Genomic DNA, 21,890 nt, shown 5'->3' on the forward strand with positions numbered 1-21,890 from the left:
AGCAATATCTCTCTATAATATTATGAAAAATACCACAGGGTGTACCCACTGTGGGATACTAGAAGTAATGTTTACCATGGATATTACAAATAATATCACAGGGTGTACACACATGGGGTACACCCACTATGATATTAGGAGTTATATCTCTCTAAGATATTACCAATAATATCCCAGTGGGTGTACCCCATGTGTGTACACCCACTGTGGTATTTAAAGTAATATCTCTCTATAAGATTACAAATAATATCGAAGGGTGTACACCCCCTGTGACATTAGGAGTAACATCCCCCTACAATATTGAGAACAATATCACACGGTGTAGACCCCTGTAACGTTAGGAGTAACATCCCCCCAGAATATTACTAATAATATCACAAGGTGTACACGCATTGTGACATTAGCAGTAATATCCTGCTAGCATATTTTCAATAATATCACAGAAGGAACACACCTGTGACATTAAGAGTCACATCCCCCTAGAATAGGAAGAATAATATCACAGGGTGTACACCTCCTGTGACATTAGGAGCATCATCTTGCTAGAATATTATGAATAATGTCACTGGGTGTTATCTTCTGTGACATCAGGAGTATAGACCCCTGGGAAATTATGAATACTATCACAGGGTGTACACCCTTGTGACATTAGGAGTAACGTCTTTCTAAAATATCGCGAATAATATCACAATGTGTACACCCCGTGTCATTAAAAGTAAAATTGCCCTAGGACACTACGAAATAGAACACAGGAAGTACACCCCGTGTGACATCAGAAGTAACATCCCCCAAGGATATAACGAAGAATATCAGAGAATGTACCCGCATTGGGACATCAGCAGTAACATCTCTTCAGGATAATACGAATAATGTCAAAGGGTGTACACGTATTATGAAATGAGTAGTGAACTCCCGCTAGGATATTACGAATTTTATGACACCGGTCTACAGGACCGGTGACATTAGTAGTAACGTTTTCCTAGAATATTACGGAGAATATTAAAGGGTGTACAGGACCTGTGATTCACGAGTAACATTTCTATAGAATATTACACGTAATATCACGGTGTGTACACCCCGGGTGACATTAGGAGTAACATCCCACAAACCTATAATGAATAATTTCACAAGGTGTACACCCTCTGTGACATTAAAAGTAACATTTCCCTATAATATGACGATAATATCACAGAGCGTACACCCTCTTGATATGAGGACTGACATCTTATGAGGATAATACGAGTAATTTGATAAGGCGTACAAACCCTGTGACATAAGGAGTGACATCCCTCTAGGATGTTACAAATAATATCAAAGGGAATACACCCCGTGTGACCACAAAAGTAACCTCCCCTTAGGAGATTAAGAAGGTGTACAAATATTGTGACATTATTATTAATGTCCCGCTATATTATAGTGAATAATATCACAGTGTGTAGAGTCCTGTGACATCAGCATTAACATTCCCCTACAATATTACGAATTATATCGCTGGGTGCACACCCCCCATGTGACTTTAGTAGTGGCATGATCCTAGAATATCAAAAATAATGTCCCACGGTGATAACCAAGTGTGCCAGGAGAGAAAATATCCTAGGAGTAACTAATATCTTATAATGTCACACGGGGTGTACTCCCTGTGTTATATTTCGTAATATCTTAGGGCAATTCTACTTTTAATGACACAGGAGGTGTGCACATGCAGGCAGTAATATCACCCCCCTCTCCCCCCCGGATATTAGGAGCCACATCGCAGGGGGGCGGGCGCCCCCCGCGATGCGGGGAGTAATATCACCCCCCTCTCCCCCCCTGGATATTACGAGCTACGGTGGTCACACAGCCTCTTTACTTTATTGTGAGTAATATCTCCTCCGCCTCTGGAAATTACCAACCATATCTCAGAAGGGTGTACATCTTCTGCACTATTGGTAGTAATAACATCCTCTTCCCCCTGGATAGGAAGAACAAAATCACAGGAGTGTTTCTACCCCCAGCGCCATTGGGTGTAGTATCATCCTCTCCCACTTTGAAATTAGGAACAACATCACTGGGGGCTTGTCCACCCCATGTGATATTGAAAGTAATGTCATCCTCTTCTGTCCTGGATCATGGAAAAAATATTACTGGGGTGGTGTACACTTTCTGCGGTTTTGTGAGTAATATCATCCTCTCTGACTTGCAGTCTTAAGGGCAATATCACAGGGTGGCTGTACACACCCTGTGCTATTAAGAAGAATATTATCCTGTCCTGCCCTGCATATTAGGAAAAATGTCACAGAGTAGGTGTACAACTCCTGCGATATGGGAGGTAATATCATCTTTTCATCTTCTGGATAGTAGGAACAGTATCACATGGGTTTGTACACTTTCTGTGATATTGGGAGTAATATCAACATCTCCGCCTTTGACTATGAAGAACAATATCACAGAATGGATGTACACCCACTCAGATATTGGGAGTCATATCAGCCTCTCATCTCCATGGATATTGGGAATAATATCCCAGGGTGGGTGTACACCTCCTGCTGTATGGGGAGTCATATCGTCCTCCCCCATCCTGGCAATTAGGAACAATATCACAGGGTGGGTGTCCACAGCCTGCGATATTGGGACTCATATCACCCTCTCCCCCTCCGGATATTAGGAACAATATCACAGAAGGGTTGTATATTTCCTGCGATACTGCGAGTAATAGCATTCTCTTCTTCCGTGAATATTAGGAGCAATATCACCGGGTGGATGTACACCCACTGCTATATTGGGAGTAACGTCATACTCCACCCCCTGGATGTTATATTCGGATCAATATAACCGGGTGGGTGTACACCTACTGTGATATTGAAAGTAATATCATGCTCTCTCCTTTCCGTGGACATTAGGAACAGTATCACAGGTGGGTGTACACCCACTGCGGTATTAGGAGTAATATTAGTATGAATTATTACACCTTGATTATTAACATGAATATGAATTACCAATATTAATATTAAGAAATAATTGCTAATAAAAAGTTTTCAGATTATTAATATTAATATTATTAGGAGCTAATATTACTGTTTTCTAATGAATAAGATCAGTATCAGTTATTAATATCAGGTGTTATTAATAATTAATATTAATAATTTATTTTTATCATTGGTAGAACTATGTAATAGAAATTATGATTATCGGTATTGATTTAAAAATATCAGTTATTAATATTGATATTATTAATATCAATCAATAATTGATGTTTTAATATCAATCAATAATTGATGTTATTAATATCAATCAATAATTGATGTTATTAATTGCGATAAGTAATATTGCGACATTCCTCACAATATCGCAGAAAATGTACACCCCTCTGTGATGTTGTTCCGAATAGTCAGGGGTAGACGATGGCATTACTCCAAATATCGCACTGGGTGTACATTCCTTCTGTGATCTTGTTGCTAATATCCAGGCTGGGAGAGGATGGTATTAATCCCAATAATCCAGAAGGTGTAGACCTCCCCTGTGATATTGTCCCTAATATCCAAAGGTGGAGAGGAAGATATATCACCCAATTTCGCAGGGGTTGGACACCACCCCTGTGATATTGTTTCTAATGTCCACGGGTAGAGAAAATGACATAACTCACAGTATGGCAGGGGGTGAACACTCCCTCCATGATATTGTTCCTAATACTCGGGGGTAAGAGTATGATATTACTCCCAATATCATAGGGGGTGTACTCCCAATATCCCAGGGGGTGTATAGTATCCCGACCGGTGATAGACTCCGCCACGATGCGGGGAGTAATATCACGCCCCTCTCCTTCCCTGGCTATTACGATACACATCGCAGGGGGGCGGGCGACGCTCGCGACGCGGGGAGAAATATCAGCCCCTCCTGACATTACAAGCCACATGGCAGGGGATGGACACCCCCAGTGATGCGGGGAGTAATATCTACCCCCCCTTCCCCATGGATATTAGGAGCCACATCGAAGGCGTGTGGACAGCCCCCGCTGATGCGCAGAGTAATATCAACCTCCGTCCCTCCCTGCATGTTAGCAGCCACTGTGGACACACAGTGTATTTACGATATTTCCAGTAAGATTATCTTTTCTATTGAACCTTATGAACAAGATCACAGGGGGGTGTACACATCCTGCGATATTGGGGGTAATATCATTCTCTCCTCCACAGCATACTGGGAACAATATCACAGGGGCGTGTATTCCCCCTTTCTTATTGGGAGTCATATCATACTTGCCTTCCATATATTAAGAACAATATCAAAGGGGGGGGTGGACACTTTGACGATATTGGGAGTAACATCATTCTCTCTATCCCTGGATATTAGTAGCAATATCACAGGGGGATGTACATTTCTTGTGATATTGAGAGTAGTATTATTGTCTTCCCCACTGGATATTAAAAACAATACCACATGGGGTGTCAAACCACCTGCCAAATTTGAGGGAATCTTATCCTCTCCCCTGCACCCCCCGCGCCCCGGATATTACAGACAATAACACAGGGGTAATGTACACCCACTGCTTTATTGGGAGAAGCATCATCCTCTCCTCCCTTAGATATTAGGAACAATATCATGGGGAGGGGGTGTACTGCCTCGGCGATATTGGGAGGAAAATTATCCTCTCTTCCCCTGGATATTAGGAAGGGTATCAGAGGGGGGAGAGTGTACATTCCCTGTGATATTCAATGTAATCTTATCCTCTCCCTCCCAGGGTATTAAGAAAAATATTACAGGAGGGTGTACACCCCCTGCAATACTGAGAGTCATATCATCCTCTTTCGCTCTGGATATTAGGAACAATATCACAGGGTTGTGTACTCCCCCTGCGATATTGGGAGTAATATCATTCTCTCTCCCTGTGGATTTTAGGAAGAGTATTACAGGGCTGTGTACACCCCCTGCGCTATTGGGAGTAATATCATCCTCTCTCCCTCTGGATAGTAGGAAGAGTTTCATAGGGGTGTGTACACCCCCTGTGATATTGGGAGTAATATCATCCTGTCGCCCTGAGGAGAGAAGCCATTTCGCTACTGTCTCCTGTCTCTGAAGAGGAGGAGGAAGTAAAAGTTGGAAAACAACAGGAATGAAGTCAGTGTCAAGACCAGCCGGTGGCAATGAGGAGCCGGCCTGAGGTGAAACAATCAACCCCCGTGACTCTAAGTACATGTGCTCTCAATCCATCAAGACCCTTTCACGTGGAACCCCTTAAAGCTGTAAGCCCTTAAACGGGCCAGGAACTCTGTCTTCCTTCCGGGAGCTCGGCTCTTAAGACGCGAGTCTGCCGAAGCTCCCAGCGGAATAAAAAAAACTCTTCCTTCTTTAATCCGCTGTCTGAGGGGTTTTGTCCGCTGCTCATCCATGCTCCATTTCTTTGTTCCCTGACCGGGAATCGAACGCAGGCAGCAGCGGTGAGAGCACCGAATCCTAAGCACTAGACCACCAGGGGAACTTAGAACCTTGTGGGAAATAGATTGCGCACCATTAGAAGTGGGTTGGCCATCAGAAGGAAGCCTGGACAGGTCCCTTGTTTCTAAGGCGTGGCACAAGGTAACTGGTAAAGATACCTAGACCAGTTCCCATACATAGACACTTGGTGACAGCTGGTGCTAGAACCCCCACAGTGGCTGAGGGCATGCAGCAGCAATACTAGTAGCAAAGGGACAGATAGCTAAGGAAGGATCCCGCTCCACTCACCCAGGGAAATCAACTCCTGAAGTTCTGTTCGACCCCACATCAGAGGATCCATTGCAGGAGATGGCACCAGAGATCCCAGTGGTGTCCTCCCCTTAACAGGGAAAGAGGCTCCCCACTCTTGAGCCCACAGTGCTTGTGCCTCCACAAGACAAGCATATCCCTAGGCCACCCAGAGTAGACAAGAGAGGAGGACTATTCATATGATTAGTGGTCATTAACATATACTCCTTTGTGAGGTGTATGTTTCAATGTTTTGCTCATTTTTAATTTTTACCAGGTTGTCTATTTGTGATTACTTTGTAGATGGGTCTTTCTATATTCTGAAAACAAATCCTGGCTGGGTGCGGTGGCTCACGCCTGTAATCCCAGCACTTTGGGAGGCTGAGGTGGGCAGATCACCTGAGGTCGGGAGTTCGAGACCAGCCTGGCCAACATGGACAAACCCCGTCTCTGCTAAAAATACAAAAACTAGCTGGGAGTGGAGGCTGAATGTTTCACTCCGTTACATGTTAATTGCTCTACATTTAATTAGCCGTCTGTGGTGAGAGGCGAGAGGCTAGCGCCTAGCTCAGCGCACAGTCCAGGGCGTTCGCCCCCGCAGGCCGCGGGGCAGGGTGGCTCGTTACTCCGTGGACACTGCAAGGCGCCCTGTTCGCGCTGCGTCGACGCAGTAGTTTCTTCCCATAATAAACCCCTTCTAGATAAAGTCAGGCTGGCGGGAGCGCCCTGGACCGTAGTTCAGGCCCCCGCGCTCCGCGGTGGGAACAGTTCAGGACTCCCCCAACTCCTGCCCCTCTCGCCCCGACCCTCTCCACTCCGCCCGCCCACCATCTCGGAAGTCCCCTTGGGACAATGCGTAGGGGACCTCCGCGTCCCCGACACCCGACTGGGACACGGCCGCGGGCTCCTTCGTCCCTCACCGCCAGCCAGGGAGGCTCTGCATGCCCACGTCCACTTCACAGCCGAGGAAGCTGCGGCTCGCGGAGGTGCCTGGCACGCGGCGGGAAGCAGCAGAGCTCGCGCCCAGCAGTCAGCTCTGGTGACGCCGAGGACACCGCGTGGGCCGGGTTGTCAGGGCGCGGGGGCGAGAGGCGGGTAAATATTTGGGGCTGTAACCGGGGCTTCGGCGACTCCTCGTCACCGCGGTTCCAGGGCGGGCGCGTGGCGAGGGCGGTGCCTGGGGGCAGGGGCCTCCTCGGAGGGCGGCGGGGACAGACCCGTCGCCCCGGCTCCGCAGCCCCGCCCCGGCCCCGCCTCCGCTCCGGCCGCCGAAGGCTATAAGATCTAGGAACCCGAGCCGGTGGTAGGGCGGGCGCGGACCGTGCTGGGAGCGGCGCGGCTGGAGCGCAGCGCCGAAGGGACTGGCAGGGCTGAAGTGTGCGGGACAGCAAGCCCCCGAATAGCCCCGGCTGCCACCTCGCAGGACCCAAGGCCACGCGCGCCGGGCCCAGCTGAGCCGCCTCATGAAGCCGCCCGCGGCGCAGGGCAGCCCCGCGGCCGCCGCGGCCGCAGGTGAGTGCGGGGTCCGGGGTCCCCTTAAAGTCTCGGCTCTGCAGATGGCGGGTGAGAAAGGAGGGGCCCCGTGTCGTCCCTTCACACCCCCCACCCTTCCATCCTCCCCGGCGGGAACCTGTCCCCGGTCTTCCCGCGCGGGCGGCTGCAGCCTCCTTTCCGGCCCGGGCTGGCCCCCATGTCCCACCTTCCCTCCACCACCAGCTCCGCGCGCGCCCGGGGTTGGGGGGAGCGGCGGGGACAGGTAACCGGCAGCGCCTGGGGAGGAATCTGGCCGCGCCAAGTCGCTGGGTGACCCTGGGCCTGGCGAAGGCTCAGTTTTCTTGTCTGTAAAACGGACTTGGTAATAGAACGCACTTCGGGGGTGGTGGAGAAGATTACAAGGTAACAGCGACTGCGTGGCTGTCACTTGGCAGAGGCGCCAAGTGTCAGTTATCTTCGGGAACCGTGGCGGCCCCTCCTGGCCCTGGGAGGTGGTCCCGCTGCCCCCCTGACTTCCGTGCACTGAGCCCCTGGCCCTGCCCGCAGCCCCGGCCCTGGACTCGGCGGCCGCGGAGGACCTGTCGGACGCGCTGTGCGAGTTTGACGCGGTGCTGGCCGACTTCGCGTCGCCCTTCCACGAGCGCCACTTCCACTACGAGGAGCACCTGGAGCGCATGAAGCGGCGCAGCAGCGCCAGTGTCAGCGACAGCAGCGGCTTCAGCGACTCGGAGAGTAAGTGCGGCCCCCGCTAGGATGGCGCCGGGATCTCCCAGCTCCCAGGACCTGCCCCGCGAAGGCTGCGGCCTCAGTTTTCTTATCAGTAAACTGAGGAATGGTTTCCTGAAGCTCAACGCAGTAGGCCGAGTGGTGGCGGGGCCCCTGACGATAATCACGGGAAAGGTCGCTGGAGGGCAGGTTGGTTCACTTGCCGCCCACGGGTGTGTCACCAGGCAGGCGAGTTTAAGCAGCTTGTCCCGACTCAGCCAGACAGGACTCCCTGGACCTGCACCAGGCCTTTCCGCAGTTTCCCTCCTCTTCTCCTTTCCGTGCCTCTCCCCTCTCAGCTGTAACTTTGCAGATGTGGAACAAGTGCCAGTGGAATGAGGGGGCACAGTGGGGACATGGGAGGGCGCAGAACGGAAATATTCATGAAACCAGGAAAGGTTTCATAAGCCCAAACTGCTGTTCTTGGGATTTATGAAATAACTGCTTGCATTGTCTTCTGGCCCTTAGCTCTCAGACTTGTTGCTCCATTGCATGCAGTTATGAAAATCTTTGGCACTGCTGAGTTCAAGTATTTTTCAGCCAGGTCCTCCACCAGGCTGGAGGGGGAGCCAGAGAGCACATGGGCATGAAGGTGGTTCCTGGTGATCTTTCTCACAATGGAGACTACCCCAGGGTCTCTTTGTCCTGAACAACTTTGTCAACAACAGCAACAACAACAAAAACAACAAAAGAGACAGCTTTTTCCAGGAACTCACATGTCCTGGGAGGATTACAGGTACCTCAAACAGCAAATTAGGTGCCTTTTTAATATTACATGATTGTTGGTTTCAAATCCAGAATTGCTTATTGTTTTTCAAAGGGCAAAGTCAATTTTAAACTCTTCTGTGTTATTCTTCAGCCTTTAATCCTTAGATGGGTTACAGGCATGAATGTCACTCCTTTTGCTGCCCTTGACTCAGGACGTGAAAGTAATGGCCTTTCCGTGTGATTCTCTTATTTTGAAACCTGGAGCTCTTCCTTGTTCCTGGGCTAAGATTCGGGGCTAGACATGAACATGAGCTGCCCTTCTGCAAAGGGATAAATGCGCTCACCACCCTGGTCAGGGTTTGACTCAGGAAGCTGAGTTCCAGCTTGTTTCCTTGGCAGCACTGCCAAAGAGTTAGACCAAGCTGCAGCTTTTGAGGTGAAAGGGGATGGAAGAAAGTACTGTTACTTTTCCACTTAGAATTTTTGGACTTTGTTCTTAATGAATAGGTTCATTTTCAATTTCAAAGCAAAGTGTTAACATTTTTGAAATTTGTCTCAATTCTAAAGGCCAAACTTAAATATGTCTCCTCCTACTGGGGCATGGAGCAAGTTATTCATCAAATACAGATTCTCGCATGGAAAAGAAAGCTAGGATAGTGTGTCGCTGCTGCTCTGTGGCAAAGAACAGCTCCTTTCTAAGCAACAGCCTCACTCTACTAGAATAGGTCTGAGCGCGCCCATTCATGGCTGATTGCAACTTCCACTGGGTGGGATTTCAGATCTAGAATCTGTTTTCAGATGCCTTAAAGAGAAGACATAGAAACACATTCTTAACAGTTTCAGGGGAGATAGTTGGGATAGTTTGTAGTTTTGCTTAGGTTATATGTGTCTGTTTTCTGCTTTTGTTGTTAACGGACTAACCCTTAGTTTGGTGGTTAGAGAAGTGATGGGAAGAACATAAAGAAAGCTCAGATGACATTTGTCTTTGCTTTAAATGTGTAGTTTTTCTCTCACAAGGCTAGTCAGAAATATTGTTGGCAGAAGCTGTGTGTATCTAAATAGTAATTTCTTAAGGAAGCATAATATGTATATCTTAATTGCTGCCAAGAATTGAGTACAGACATTTGTTATCCTCGTTTGTCTGTTTAATGCTTTTCTATGGGAGAGAATGCTTAAGAGAGGTAGATACTACTGAAATTTAGCTCATCAAGAGGGAGACACACCAGGATAAGGATAATAACAGCAGCTCACTTTTAGCAAACGCTTGTTATGATGATGATGATGATTTATTAGCTGGAATGGGAACCATGTCTTCACGAATAGACTGAAGTCCTTTTGAGCCCAGATCACATGCCTGTTTGTCAATGATGGCTGTTTATGAAGGTGTCTCTTTGAGGTGGTGGTCATCTGGCAGGGTCAGTAGAGCTTAGATTGAGCCTTGTCAAGGCCCTGGGTGATGAGTGGGATTTAGTTTCTCTAGCTGTGAAATTGAAAGGATGCTATTTAATAGTGCTATTAGGGAGAAAATATTTGCTCTGTTGAATACTTTCAAAATATCATTACAATGTACATGCTGTGCTATACCATATAGATACATTGGAGCCAGTGTCTCGCATGAAAATATTTTGGATGAATATGTAAACCAATGTTACCTTTGTTTTTTGCTCTAGTTTTTACAGCTCTGTCTGAAGGTGCACCAACCTTACAAGGAAGATCAAACAGCAAGCCTGTTCTTTGAAGAATACTTCTTTATTATCATTAAAAAAAATTTAGGTTGCTTGCACCCAAAGGCAAAAAATAGCCATTCCTCGTACTGAAAGAAACAAGTTACTCAGATAGGAAAGAAGAACAGATATTTAATAAGGAAATATTCCTTCCTGTTCCCACTTTCAGGGAGGCCTCTTAAGACATGAAGAGGACCAAAATAACAATTGCAGTATAACTTCACATGGTGGGGTGGGGGGTGTGGAGTTCAAATGTGGTTGATCAAAATAGTGTTGTTACTTTCGTTTAGACTTGATTCCAACATGTAAAAAAATCAGGCACTTTAGTGGGAGTGATTTTAACTTCAGTAGTGAAAGGGCAATGCAATTAAGAGTTAGGGTAGTGTTTCTCAAACTTCATCCTCAGAGGTGCTTTAGAAATTGACTACCTTTGGTTTGAATTTATTTTTAGAAATATATCTTCTTTTCAGTATTTTTAAAACTGTAAAAGGTAAACCATGTTTTCTCAAATGTGTTAAATGGAATTTTAACTCATTATGTTTCAAGTTTTAACCAGTGTGTTGACTTTATAAGAAGTTTATAATATTAACTTAAACTTTAAAAGGTGGTATGCACTTATACCTTTAAGGTATTGGGGTTTCACATAATTTTTCCTTTGACGGGGGAGTGTTTTGCTGCTCAACAGAAAAGGTCTGAAGTCTACTGTGTATGCTAGGGTTATTATGATATTGTAGGACCATTTAGGAAATGAGGAACTGGCTTCTTTAGCATCAGCAAGACTTAGAACACCTGCATATCTTTGCTTAGGCTATTCTGGCCTGGCCCTGGGAGAGGGGACCTTGTGGGCCCTGGAGAACCAGCATGACAGATGGCTTATGTGGCTTAGAAGCCACTGAGGTAGAACCTGAACTTGTTCAAGCCATGAGAGAATAAGGCCAATGAGGAGCCTTCAGGGTTCCCTGGTACTGTGTTAGCAATTCTGCATGGGTAATGGATCTTGTGATGCTTGGCAAGGCATATAGAGGGACAGTGCGATCCCAGAAAGGGAGCTGGGACAACAGTGGAGAAGTTGAGGAAAGATGCTCTTTCTTATTTTGCCCCCCTTTGGCGAGGCTATCAGAATTTAGATTTTCAGGAGGAGAAGTCAACCCACACCCCCAGCCATTCCCTGTGGCAAAAGGGAGGTAGGTCCAAAGCTTTCTTTTTCTTGGTTAATTACTATAGTTTGCTTGCTTTAAACGTGTGGGATCGTTCTATATTTACAGGAGCCTTGGGTAAGGTTTACTGTCTGTGGTTTTACTTCCCCCTGGAGCAGCACGTTGACATGCGCTAACCCTAAATTACCTTTCTCCCAACCCCCCTAGCTAAAAAAACACACCTACCTTTTAAACAAGCCTCTATTTTGCAGCAGTGTTTCTCAGACTCTGTTAGTTGTATATTTCATATGCTTTTCTTTCTTTTGATGGTGCCTTAGAAAACACGGTCCCAGAATTTGAGGTTCCTGACTTCAGTACACTAACTAGACTTGCCAGGGATGTTTCTAATGGGAATTTGAGATACATGTGAGATGGTGCTTTAGAGCTGATTGAAGCCGATATTGTAAGGCCCTCAAATATCCAGCCTTACCACCTGCCAGGGTTCCCCAAATTATCACTGTTCTAGGTCCTTCGAGCCCCTATTAATAGCAGCACCTGATACCCACGCGGGGCAATAATACATGAATATGTGATCAGCCAGCAACACATTGCTGTCATTTAATCAGACTAACTGGCTATTACTTTTGCAAGGAATAGAGTTCCAGGGGAGGGAAAAGAACAGGATGTCCGGCTTTGCCTACCTTGAAATCTGTCTTGCGTGAGATTTTGCCCATTGTATGTTCTTAATAAAACTCTATGGAAAGAAATTTTATTGGTTAAGGGTAAAGAGAGGTCTAGAGCTTGGGGTACCTCTATGTTGAGAGTTTGTTCTTGGGAGGTTTGTTCTAGGATGCCACTGAAGAGAAAGTTCTCTTAAGAATGTTGCTGCTCTCTCTCAAGAAGAGGGAGGATCTTGATTCTGTTTATTCTCTGTGATTACCTTTTCTCTCTCAGGAGTGCTATTCTGCACTTTGCTAGGAACTTTAGAGTTAAATCATTAAAACCACAGGCATTATACACAGAGCACCTAGGTTATTGTTCTTCTTCTAACAAGGAAGAAACAGAGTGACTCTACAGGGTCATGCAGTTTTCACGTGGCCTCTAGACACCCACTCGACAGTGGCATAGATGCTAGATGCCCACTCGCCAGTGGTGTAGCTTTGGGGCCTTGAGGGCTCTCTTTTCATCTGTGCCATACACGATGTGTAGATATCATCACAGGGTGCGCCTCAGCTGCAGCAGGTTTGGCTCAAGGATGCTGGCGGTCGGCTTCTTCTTGGTGGTCGAAGGTTGAACAGTTCAAAACTTGGAGTTGGGTCTGTCCCAGATTGTACACCTCACGGAAAGGGAGTGAAGTCATGGTGTGGCAACGAGCTGGGGCGTGAGCTAATGTGTATCTGTGTGTGTGTGTGTGTGTGTGTGTGTGTGTGTGGTGGGCAGGGCGGGGGCGGGCAGGAGGAAGTGAGTGTAGCTGTGCTGCCATGCCTCTGTTTGCGTGTGTTTCTATATAAATAGATATTGTAACTAGTATTTTTCCTCCTCTTCCTCCCTCACTGTGGGAGTGGCTGTCAGTTTGTCTGTATATTTTCTCAGTTTGGGAAAAATTCTCACATCAAGAAGGCATTTAGCCTGTGAACCTAAAGGATCAGAGGACAGTCCTGGCAATATTCTGGATCTACGGCTCATTCTCTACAGATTCTCTCCAGGCCCCATGAGTTATGCTGAGTCTTTCCTGAATCTTTGCTGGATTCCTTTTTTCCCCTGCTAACATCCTCTTTTGTAATGGCCTTTCCATATCTAGATTGTTCCTTCTTCCAACATTCAATAGCGTTTGGCCTCCTTGCCTGTGAGGTGAACAAATTGTGGTGTCTTTCTCCCCTGCAGAGGAGTGTACGTGGATGGAAACTTGCTGGAGAGTAGGGGCAGAAGAGAGCTGAAGTTCAAAGTCAGGGTAGGGCCTGTGGTGCATGCCGGGTGGGTGGAGTGAGCAGTGGTGTGGAAAGTTGCTCTCCCAGGCCAGCTGCTTGTGGGAGATAGAGAGCGGAGGTGTGGTCCCTGCGATCTGGGCCAGCCAGCCTCTGGGCCCAGGGATGGGGGCGAAGCTCTCAGGTATCCTTCATAGCCACGGATAATGTGCCAAGGGCCTGGTATTTTCTGGCTCAGAGTCTAGGCATGAGGCCTGCCTCCTCAGGACCCTCTGTGGTTTTCTTGCCCCTAAATTTTGCCTTATCTTCTCCCCATGAGTTTCTCAGGCTGTATTTGTGGCGATTCTCCTGGTGACTGCATGGTGACAACAGTAAGGCTTCCTTGCAGGTCTGCAGTGGGTGTGGCCAGCTTCCTGTGTGTAGGGGAAAGGGCTTCCCTTGGGAGAATTGGAGAGCCCACCTTTGGAGGTGGGCTCGGTTGAGGGAGCCAGCAGGAGGGCTTCCCAAGTAAGGTTCCACGGAGTCCAAGGGTCCTGAGAAGTAGTAGCAGGAGCACCACAAAGAAGTGTCCCGTGGTCAGGTACACTGGGGAAATGGGGCTGGTTTTGTTTAACCGCAAGTCTTTTCAGGATGTTGGAAGTGGGCATACCCATGGGAATGAGCAAGGCTGTTTGGTGTTTCTCAGGTGTACCTGATCACACAGCCCTCGGAGGACCAGCACTCTGAGGAATGTATTTTTGGGGAAGTGTAGGTATCAGGTCCAGGATTTTGGATCTCAGTCCATGTTCATCCTCAAAGCCCAGTGATGGTGGTCATTTCAGGTGAGCTGGGCTGGACCTCTGAAGGAAGCAAAGATTGTGAGGGTTGCTCTCAAGGGTCTTCTGGGCATGTTTGGAAAAGTGGACAAGATGGCGGTGTCAGCGAAAAAGAGCAGGGGGCAGGTGGGCCCCTGGGCAGGAGAGGGTGGGGGGAAAGGGAGCCAGGTGAGGCACCTGAGAAGTTGTGGCAGCCTCTTAGGGACAAAGCTGAATTTCCCTGAGACTAGAAACCTCTTCTTCCGAAAACTCTGATACTTTTTGTACTGGGCCTATCTCTTGTCACTTAGGCAAATTCCTTTTCAGTTAATGGGACCAAAGAGAGATGTTTTTGCCTCCCCCTAAGCTGGAGGTAGTTGGCTTAAAGTGGAAGAATCCCGAGGAGGCGGGGACCTGGTAAGGCCCCCATCATTCAGCTGCCCTCTCACACCTGAAGAGCCACTTCTCTGCTCCAACTGTGGCTGGCTTTGTGTTTTGTTTTAACCAGGAAGGCTGTTCCCCGTGACCTCAGGGGCCACATCCTGCTTCTGCTGCCTGCCTTGCCTTTGCACCCTTTGAGTCAGTGCTGCTCAGCCAGCAGCCCCTTTCTGAGTCACAGCCACACAGCTGGGCCAACCGTGCGTTGGTTTCCTTCCCCTTAGCAGGACTTAGAGAATCTCAGAACTTTAGAGCTAGAAGTGCCTTTAAGGATTATTTAGTCCGCCTTCCCATTCTATTGATAAGTAAGCTAGGCCCAGAGATGTACTAGCTCAAAGGCACCCTAGTACTTAGTAGTTGACTGGATGGTCCCCTTGACTCCCAGTTCAGCCTTGAACTTCTGGGGCCTCATCTTGCTGTGGTTCAAGTCTTTGGAGGTATGAGAATAGAGGGAGCCATGATGTCACTCCAAGTGTCTAATAGATGAACTTCCAGGAGAAGATGTCTTTATCTTTGACCTTCTGGCTTATCTGAAGAGTACAGACTCTTAGGAAAACCTCTCTTAAGTAAAAGAGAGGATTATTAAATTATAGGACAGCAAGAGAGCAAAGATCTCTCTTGAGCAGGGAAAGAGGCTTAAGTCATGGGATACTGGATGTTTGTATTTTAGGAGGCTCAGAGGGCAGAAGGGACATATTTCACTTGAGATGATTCCTTTTGCCTAAAATCCTTACCCCCACACTCCCACCATCAACCAAGCACTGGTCATGATGATCCTATCACCCCCTTCCTGTATTGGGGAAGCAAGGGCCTTTGGTATACTTGATTTGACACACACACACTCTCTCACTTCTCACTCACACTCTCACACTCACATGCTCTCACACACACACTCTCATTTTCTCACACACACTCCACACTCACACACGCACACACTCTCACACACTTTCTCACACACACACTCACACACACTCATACACTCACACACTTTCTCACACACACATATTCTCACACACACCCACACTCACACACTCATGCACACACACACACTTTCACACAAACACACACACACACTTTCTCTCTCACACACACACACTCCCTCTCTCCCCTGTCTCGAATCATTTTGGGGGCATAAACATAAAACCTGGAAATCAACCTGTTTTCTAATCTTTTTTTTTGAGACAGAGTCTCACTCTGTCACCCAGGCTGGAGTGCAGTGGTGTGATCTTGGCTCACTGCAAACTCCACCTCCCAGATTCAAGCGAGTCTCCTGCCTCAGCCTCCCAAGTAGCTGGGGCTACAGACACACACCACTATGCCTGGCTAATTTTTGTATTTTTAGTAGAGATGGGGTTTCACCATGTTGGCCAGGCTGGTCTTGAACTCCTCATCTCTGGTGATCCACCTGCTTCAGCTTCCCAAAGTGCTGAGATTACAGCCGTGAGCCACCCCATGCCTGGCTGTTTTCTTTACTATAGAGTTGCAGCTTTGGCTTATTTTGAAGACAAATTGTTGGTTATCAATAGACTATAAAGTGCTAAGTCTATAATCTCATGAGTACTATTTCTAATGAGTATATTTTCCTTCCTGAAAGGTGCAGATTCACTTTATAGGAACAGCTTCAGCTTCAGTGATGAAAAACTGAATTCTCCAACAGACTCTACCCCAGCTCTTCTCTCTGCCACTGTCACTCCTCAGAAAGGTAAGGTCATTAGTTGGAATTTGAGTTTTTTGCTTTTTTATTCCTCTCTCCTTCTCAATCCCTTCTCTGTCCCTTTTATCCCTAAACAATCTTTCTCAAATGTACAAAACAAATAGGTAAGACTAATGTCTTAATACTGTAGAGTATACAGTGGAATTTTTTATTTCTCAGGATTTTAATCAGTGTGAACATGAAATCAGATAATTTGGGGCAGAAAACCTGAAGTCACAGGGAGAAAGAAAATTTGGAGACTAGACTGTTCTCTCTCATGTGATGTAATCAAGACTGTGCAAATGACAGTGTTTCTTAGGAGTCTCCTCCCAGACTTGTTGGTTCTAGAATTTAAAACTCAGCAGTTTGCCTTTGCAGATAGTGGGATTCTTTTTATTGCATTAATTATTTAACCAATGCTTTCAGATGACCAATTTAGCAATTAAATGGGGTTGTCATTATTAGATAAGCTATGATCTAACATGATTTAAAATAGCAGCTCCAGCCTGTCTCTACTGTGGTATTAATAGACCTAAAATGTCTTTAAAGATGCATGAGCAGTTTCTTATTTTTTGGAACTGGTAAAATGTCTCCAGCTAGAGAGTTGAATGTTCTGTTACATTGGACAAGTGCCTTTTTGAAAACAAAAGGAGCTTTTTTTCTTAAGAAAAGTTATACTTGCTGAAAATAGTTGCAGAATGCAATAAAAATGGAACATAGTTAAAAAGAAATGACAATTCCATCACTCTTTTCACTTTGGCAATAAGACAGGACTTCACTCTTTTTTCAGAAGAGGCATTTGAAAGTTCCCTTCTCAACATAGCAACGTTAGCACCCACTGGGAATTCTGCCACTATCCAGCCCTCAGTCTGTAATGAATCAGTTGAATTCAGAGACAGAGCAGTCTAAAAAGTGGCTTAAAACGTGCTCAGATTTGTTACCTGATCCTCAAGAGGTAGGAATTAAAGAGGGAAAAAAAGCCCCTAGTGGCAAATTGACTTAAAAGGCTAAGAACAATTAGCCATTTGTAGCCAGCAGGTGTTAATTAATAAAACTGTCCAGTACTGCATTTCAGGGAAGGCATGAATGATGTGATGAACTCTACAAAAATAAAGTCAGCTATATGAAAAAAATCTCTACATCTCAGGCTCTAGAGAGAACCAAATCAGAATGAGGACTCGTTTCCTTGTGTGGGCACCTGGAGGGGATGAGGCTGTCCTGGGCCCAGAAGACTCATGGCACCTTCCCTGTACCATTTTGATAAGAAACAGTGAACTCTTCATTCATTTCATATTGGAGGAACTCTGAGGGCTGCAGCGTTGCCCTGGGGGGACAGCACAAGCAAGAATGCATCAGAAGGCTAGTGCCGCAGGAATGACACAATCTAGGTGTCTGCTCTGCACAGTGCTATGCTTACTGAATTTTTTGACTAATAACTCATATTCTACACAATACAAAAACCAGACTCCTTTTATCTTCCCTTCCTGCTCCTCACTCTCCTGCAAACATTTAAGACAGTGAAGGAAGATTCCTCTTCTAGGTGAGGGAGAAGTGGGGTGGGATGTTTGGAGAGGGTGGTGATGAACTAAAAAATAAAGAAACACTTAGGCTAGTCTTCAGAATCAGTTTCTGAGTTTACTGTATCAAAACACTGGAGCACACACTTAGGGTTGGCCCAGGACACTCTTCAATAAAAGTCTCTGAAGATAAGGAGGTAGATGTAAAATAGAAATAATCCATTCTATAACTCTGGAAGTTCCAACTTCCTGGAAAACTCAATATGGAGTCATCAGCTGTCTTTGTTATGGAAACTGAACTCTCTCTCTCTCTCTCTCTCCCTCTCCTGTTTCACAGCTAAATTAGGAGACACAAAAGAGCTAGAAGCCTTCATTGCTGATCTTGACAAAACTTTAGCAAGTAAGTACATGTCTGATATTAAAAACAAAAAAACAAAAAACTAACAGACACTTCTGATAAAGTGTTGTAATGTTAACCAGCTTGCCCTGGGGCAGAAAGTTTCATCCTAAGCCTTCTATAGGTTTAGAAACAGGACCCTAGGCCGGGGCAGTGGCTCACGCCTGTAATCCCAGCACTTTGGAAGGCTGAGGTGGGTGGATTACCTGAGGTCAGGAATTCAAGTCCAGCCTGGCCAACATGGTGAAACCCAATCTCTACTAAAAAATACAAAAATTAGCTGGGCATGGTGGCGCACACCTGTAGTCCCAGCTTCTTGGGAGGCTGAGGTAGGAGAATCACTTGAACCCGGGAGGCAGAGGTTGCAGTGAGCCGAGATTGCGCCACTGTACTCCAGCCTGGTGACAGAGCAAGACTCCGTCAAAATAGTAATAATAATAATAATAATAATAATAATAATAAGAAGAAGAAGAAGAAGAAGAAGAAGAAGAAGAAGAAACAGGACTCTAGTGGCTAGGAATGAAATTCTGGGATAAGCTTGTGTTAAAGTAGACCATGTGCGTTTCCAAACAGTGAGAACAGGTCACTAGCAAACAATGGCATTTTGTTTGAGAAATGGAGAGCGAGCAAGACTGGAGCATTACCATCATGATGGCCTGTCAGGCTTTTCAGAGAAGAAATGAACTGATTAACCACAAGTGCATTATTCCAACAAGCCAAAAGTCTTCCATCCCATGGGCCAGGGTAATTTTCCCAGGTTAGATCCAGGGTTTGGGTGAAATTTAACTTTAAGATGTGGGTGCCAAAAGAGAGAATTGGCTTGTGGGGCCTTTCACCAGAGACCCATGCCAGTGACTGAATGACCTGGATTAGGTATGCATACTTGCAAGCCTCTTATTTGGGAATTACACTAATGGTTACCTGTTTTGTGTGACCAAAAATGTTGAGAACTGAAGACATCAAATTATAACTGCAGTATAGGGGCCCAGAAGAAGGGACCCTCACAATCTATCTACACACTCTATTTCCAAAGGATAAGATTGCAAGAGCCAGGAGGACCAACTCCAGCTTCTGGGATGGAAGGTTCAGCAACTCTACTACGGGGGGTCCTGTTTAGTCACAGAGTGGGCTAGGAAAATTTTGTCCCAGCCCCTTAATTTTCCAGGGTAAGGGTTGATTTTCTGTGAGAAGTATTTAATGCTATTCTTTGCTAAAGAGCCGGGTAAACTCTGAAAAATTAAATCCAAAGCTGGTTATTTAAAAATAACTATGTTCTTAACACTCTTGCAGACAAACCTAAATATCAGATAGAAAGTCCTTGTATCATTTCTATTTGAAAATTGAAGATTTTATTGCCTCTTTTCTTATGTACTGCACCATCTTACATCAGAAGACCAGGGCTTGTTTTGACAGGGATTATTATAATTGCAGCATAATTTGTATTAGACCCATGTAACAAGCCTGTCTACTTCATGGAAATTGCAGTGGGTTGCCCAGTCATTCCAGTTAATCAGACACTCATCGTGTGGGAAGCCCAGCATTGAGTTTGGTGCTTTGATGCACGTCTGAGACAGTGTGATGTGGTTAAGCATAGGAATTGTGAGCCTCTGAGTGGATAACCTTACCTATCTCTCATTTACAGGTATGTGAAACAAGAAGTTCTGGGTCCTTTCATCATAAGGGAGAAGCTTCAGAAAGTTCCGAGGACCTGCTAAAATCAGCTACTAGAATCTGCTGCCAGAGGGGACAAAGACGTGCACTCAACCTTCTACCAGGCCACTCTCAGGCTCACCTTAAAATCAGCCCTTGATCCCATTTCTGGGCAATTTAGACAGTGAAACTGACTTTGTTTACCTGCTTGCAGCATATTAGAACAGACGATCCATGCTAATATTGTATTTTCTCTTAAAACATAGCTTTCCTGTAATTTAAAGTGCTTTTATGAAAATATTTGTAATTAATTATATATAGTTGGAAATAGCAGTAAGCTTTCCCATTATAATATATTTTTGTATACAAATAAAATTTGAACTGAAGTCTGCTTCCTTTTCTTTTTCTTTATTTTTTAAAATATATTTCCATTCAAATAATATTCTAGTGGGAGTAACATGCCTCTTGTTTCCTTAGCAAGGCCCCTGGGTGCTGTCTGATTGCACTAGACAAGAGGACAGTAAACTTAAAGTGTTCCTTTAGCTCATTCAGTGCTCTGGAAGGAAATGCTGGCAGACGGCTGCTGGGAAATTTTAATTTCAGGATTGTGATTTCATTGGAAGTTAGGTTTCTATTCTGTCTCTGCCCTCCTTCTCATATCTTGGCACCATTGCAGGTGGCATGGACTCTTTCTTTGAATTAAGGGAAGTACCAGTTCTTACAATCCAGGACTTAAATACGAGGGAAAGTTGAGATAGCTGGAAGACTTGAAAATGATGGTGCTTTTCTAAGATCTGTGTGGAGGAAGATTGATGGTGCTGGTTTTCATGGAATGTCCAGCAAACCTCTGGTGTGAAGAGTTTGACGGGTGGGCTTTGCACATAGAAGCCACTGACCACTTCTCCCACTTGCCTTTGTGGGGGCTGGAGAGAGGCATAAAAATAAGAAAGCTCATAATTTTCGTATCTATGCTTTTCTGTCTTTAAAACCTCCTCTAAAATAACCAGGCATTACTTTCATAATCAGAATAAAGTTATTTTAAAACTTGAATCCCTATATTCCTAAAGGACATAAATCCAAAACATAACTACTTATAATTTTACTTGTATCTTCAAAAGCTAACTACTATATTTGATGTGTTTTTTAGGGAATCGGGAAACTAAATTGCTTTTCTTTAACTTTTTTCTTTTCCTCAGCTTCCAGGAAAACTTTTGGGTTGAACTCAAATATTTTCTTTATTTCTTTTTTAAAAATTGAGATCTAATTCACATACTACAGCACCCAGTTCAGCGGTTTTTAGCATATCCACAGGTACTGCAGCCATCACCACTGTCTATCTACTTCTCTGTCTCCACGAACGTGTCTATTCTGGATCTTTCATATAACGAATATGTAATCTTTTGTGTCTGGCTTCTTTCACTTAGCATAGTATTTTCAAAGTTCATCCATGAGTAGCATGAATCAGTACTTCATTTCTTTTCACGGCCAAATCATAATCCACTGTGTGGATATGCCACAGTTGTTTATCTGTTCATTGGTTGGTGAAGATTTGGGTTGTTTCCACTTTTTAGCTAACAAATAATATTGTTATGAATACCCATGTATTAGTTTTTGTGTGGACATATGTTTTCATTTCTCTTGGGTGTATAACTAGGAGTGGAATTCCTGGGTCGTATGTTAATTCTGTTTAACTTTTTGAGAAACTGTCAAACTTTTCCAAAGCAGTTTGGAAAAACCATTTTACATTCCCACTAGCAATGTATGAGGATTCCAGTTTCTCTAAATCCTTGCCAACTTGTTATTGTCTGCCTTGTCATTCTAGCAGGTGGGAAGTGGTATCACATTGTGGTTTTATTTTACATTTCTTTTTTTTTTTTTTTTTTGAGATGGAATCTTGCTCTGTCGCCCAGGATGGGTGCTAGTGGCGGGATCTCGGCTCACTGCAAGCT

At 45.4% G+C, this 21,890-nt stretch overlaps 1 protein-coding gene across 4 annotated transcripts, besides 8 other annotated features; it reads left to right on the top strand.

Annotated features, from left to right (window-relative positions):
• Positions 6,779-7,618: a silencer, noted in NCBI's record as "silent region_5291". NCBI's record gives its function as "represses an Ori minimal core promoter by ATAC-STARR-seq in GM12878 lymphoblastoid cells {active_cell/tissue: GM12878}" and the evidence as "EXISTENCE:reporter gene assay evidence [ECO:0000049][PMID:35858748]".
• Positions 6,779-7,869: a biological region, named in NCBI's record as "H3K27ac-H3K4me1 hESC enhancer GRCh37_chr13:42031872-42032549".
• On the top strand, positions 7,006-20,327 carry RGCC (regulator of cell cycle). Of its 4 annotated transcripts, NM_014059.3 has the most exons (5): positions 7,006-7,212; positions 7,741-7,926; positions 16,279-16,386; positions 18,232-18,294; positions 19,934-20,327. In NM_014059.3, exons 1-5 carry the CDS (start codon positions 7,164-7,166, stop codon positions 19,939-19,941), a joined length of 414 nt encoding a protein of 137 aa, NP_054778.2. In that variant the 5' UTR covers positions 7,006-7,163; the 3' UTR covers positions 19,942-20,327. The 4 variants fall into 4 exon arrangements, 2 of the variants coding, with proteins under 2 accessions (NP_054778.2, XP_047286238.1); XR_941565.2 differs by lacking the exons at positions 18,232-18,294; positions 19,934-20,327 and adding an exon at positions 8,428-8,695 and having other exon boundaries at positions 16,279-16,366; XR_007063677.1 differs by lacking the exons at positions 16,279-16,386; positions 18,232-18,294; positions 19,934-20,327 and adding exons at positions 8,428-8,695; positions 10,338-10,928.
• Positions 7,192-7,869: an enhancer, noted in NCBI's record as "H3K27ac-H3K4me1 hESC enhancer chr13:42031872-42032549 (GRCh37/hg19 assembly coordinates)". NCBI's record gives its function as "activates a minimal SCP1, AML or CMV promoter by ChIP-STARR-seq in naive H9 embryonic stem cells {active_cell/tissue: H9 hESC(naive)}" and the evidence as "EXISTENCE:reporter gene assay evidence [ECO:0000049][PMID:30033119]".
• Positions 7,919-8,048: an enhancer, noted in NCBI's record as "active region_7629". NCBI's record gives its function as "activates an Ori minimal core promoter by ATAC-STARR-seq in GM12878 lymphoblastoid cells {active_cell/tissue: GM12878}" and the evidence as "EXISTENCE:reporter gene assay evidence [ECO:0000049][PMID:35858748]".
• Positions 11,296-11,395: an enhancer, noted in NCBI's record as "active region_7630". NCBI's record gives its function as "activates an Ori minimal core promoter by ATAC-STARR-seq in GM12878 lymphoblastoid cells {active_cell/tissue: GM12878}" and the evidence as "EXISTENCE:reporter gene assay evidence [ECO:0000049][PMID:35858748]".
• Positions 12,829-12,888: an enhancer, noted in NCBI's record as "active region_7631". NCBI's record gives its function as "activates an Ori minimal core promoter by ATAC-STARR-seq in GM12878 lymphoblastoid cells {active_cell/tissue: GM12878}" and the evidence as "EXISTENCE:reporter gene assay evidence [ECO:0000049][PMID:35858748]".
• Positions 13,960-14,174: a silencer, noted in NCBI's record as "fragment chr13:42038640-42038854 (GRCh37/hg19 assembly coordinates)". NCBI's record gives its function as "represses an EF-1alpha promoter that drives an FKBP-Casp9 reporter gene in an ReSE screen in HepG2 liver carcinoma cells {active_cell/tissue: HepG2}" and the evidence as "EXISTENCE:reporter gene assay evidence [ECO:0000049][PMID:32094911]".
• Positions 14,668-14,927: an enhancer, noted in NCBI's record as "active region_7632". NCBI's record gives its function as "activates an Ori minimal core promoter by ATAC-STARR-seq in GM12878 lymphoblastoid cells {active_cell/tissue: GM12878}" and the evidence as "EXISTENCE:reporter gene assay evidence [ECO:0000049][PMID:35858748]".
• Positions 20,328-21,890: the final 1,563 nt, after the last annotated feature.

This window comes from Homo sapiens, chromosome 13, assembly GCF_000001405.40.
Source record: "Homo sapiens chromosome 13, GRCh38.p14 Primary Assembly".
NCBI classification, from domain to species: domain Eukaryota; kingdom Metazoa; phylum Chordata; class Mammalia; order Primates; family Hominidae; genus Homo; species Homo sapiens.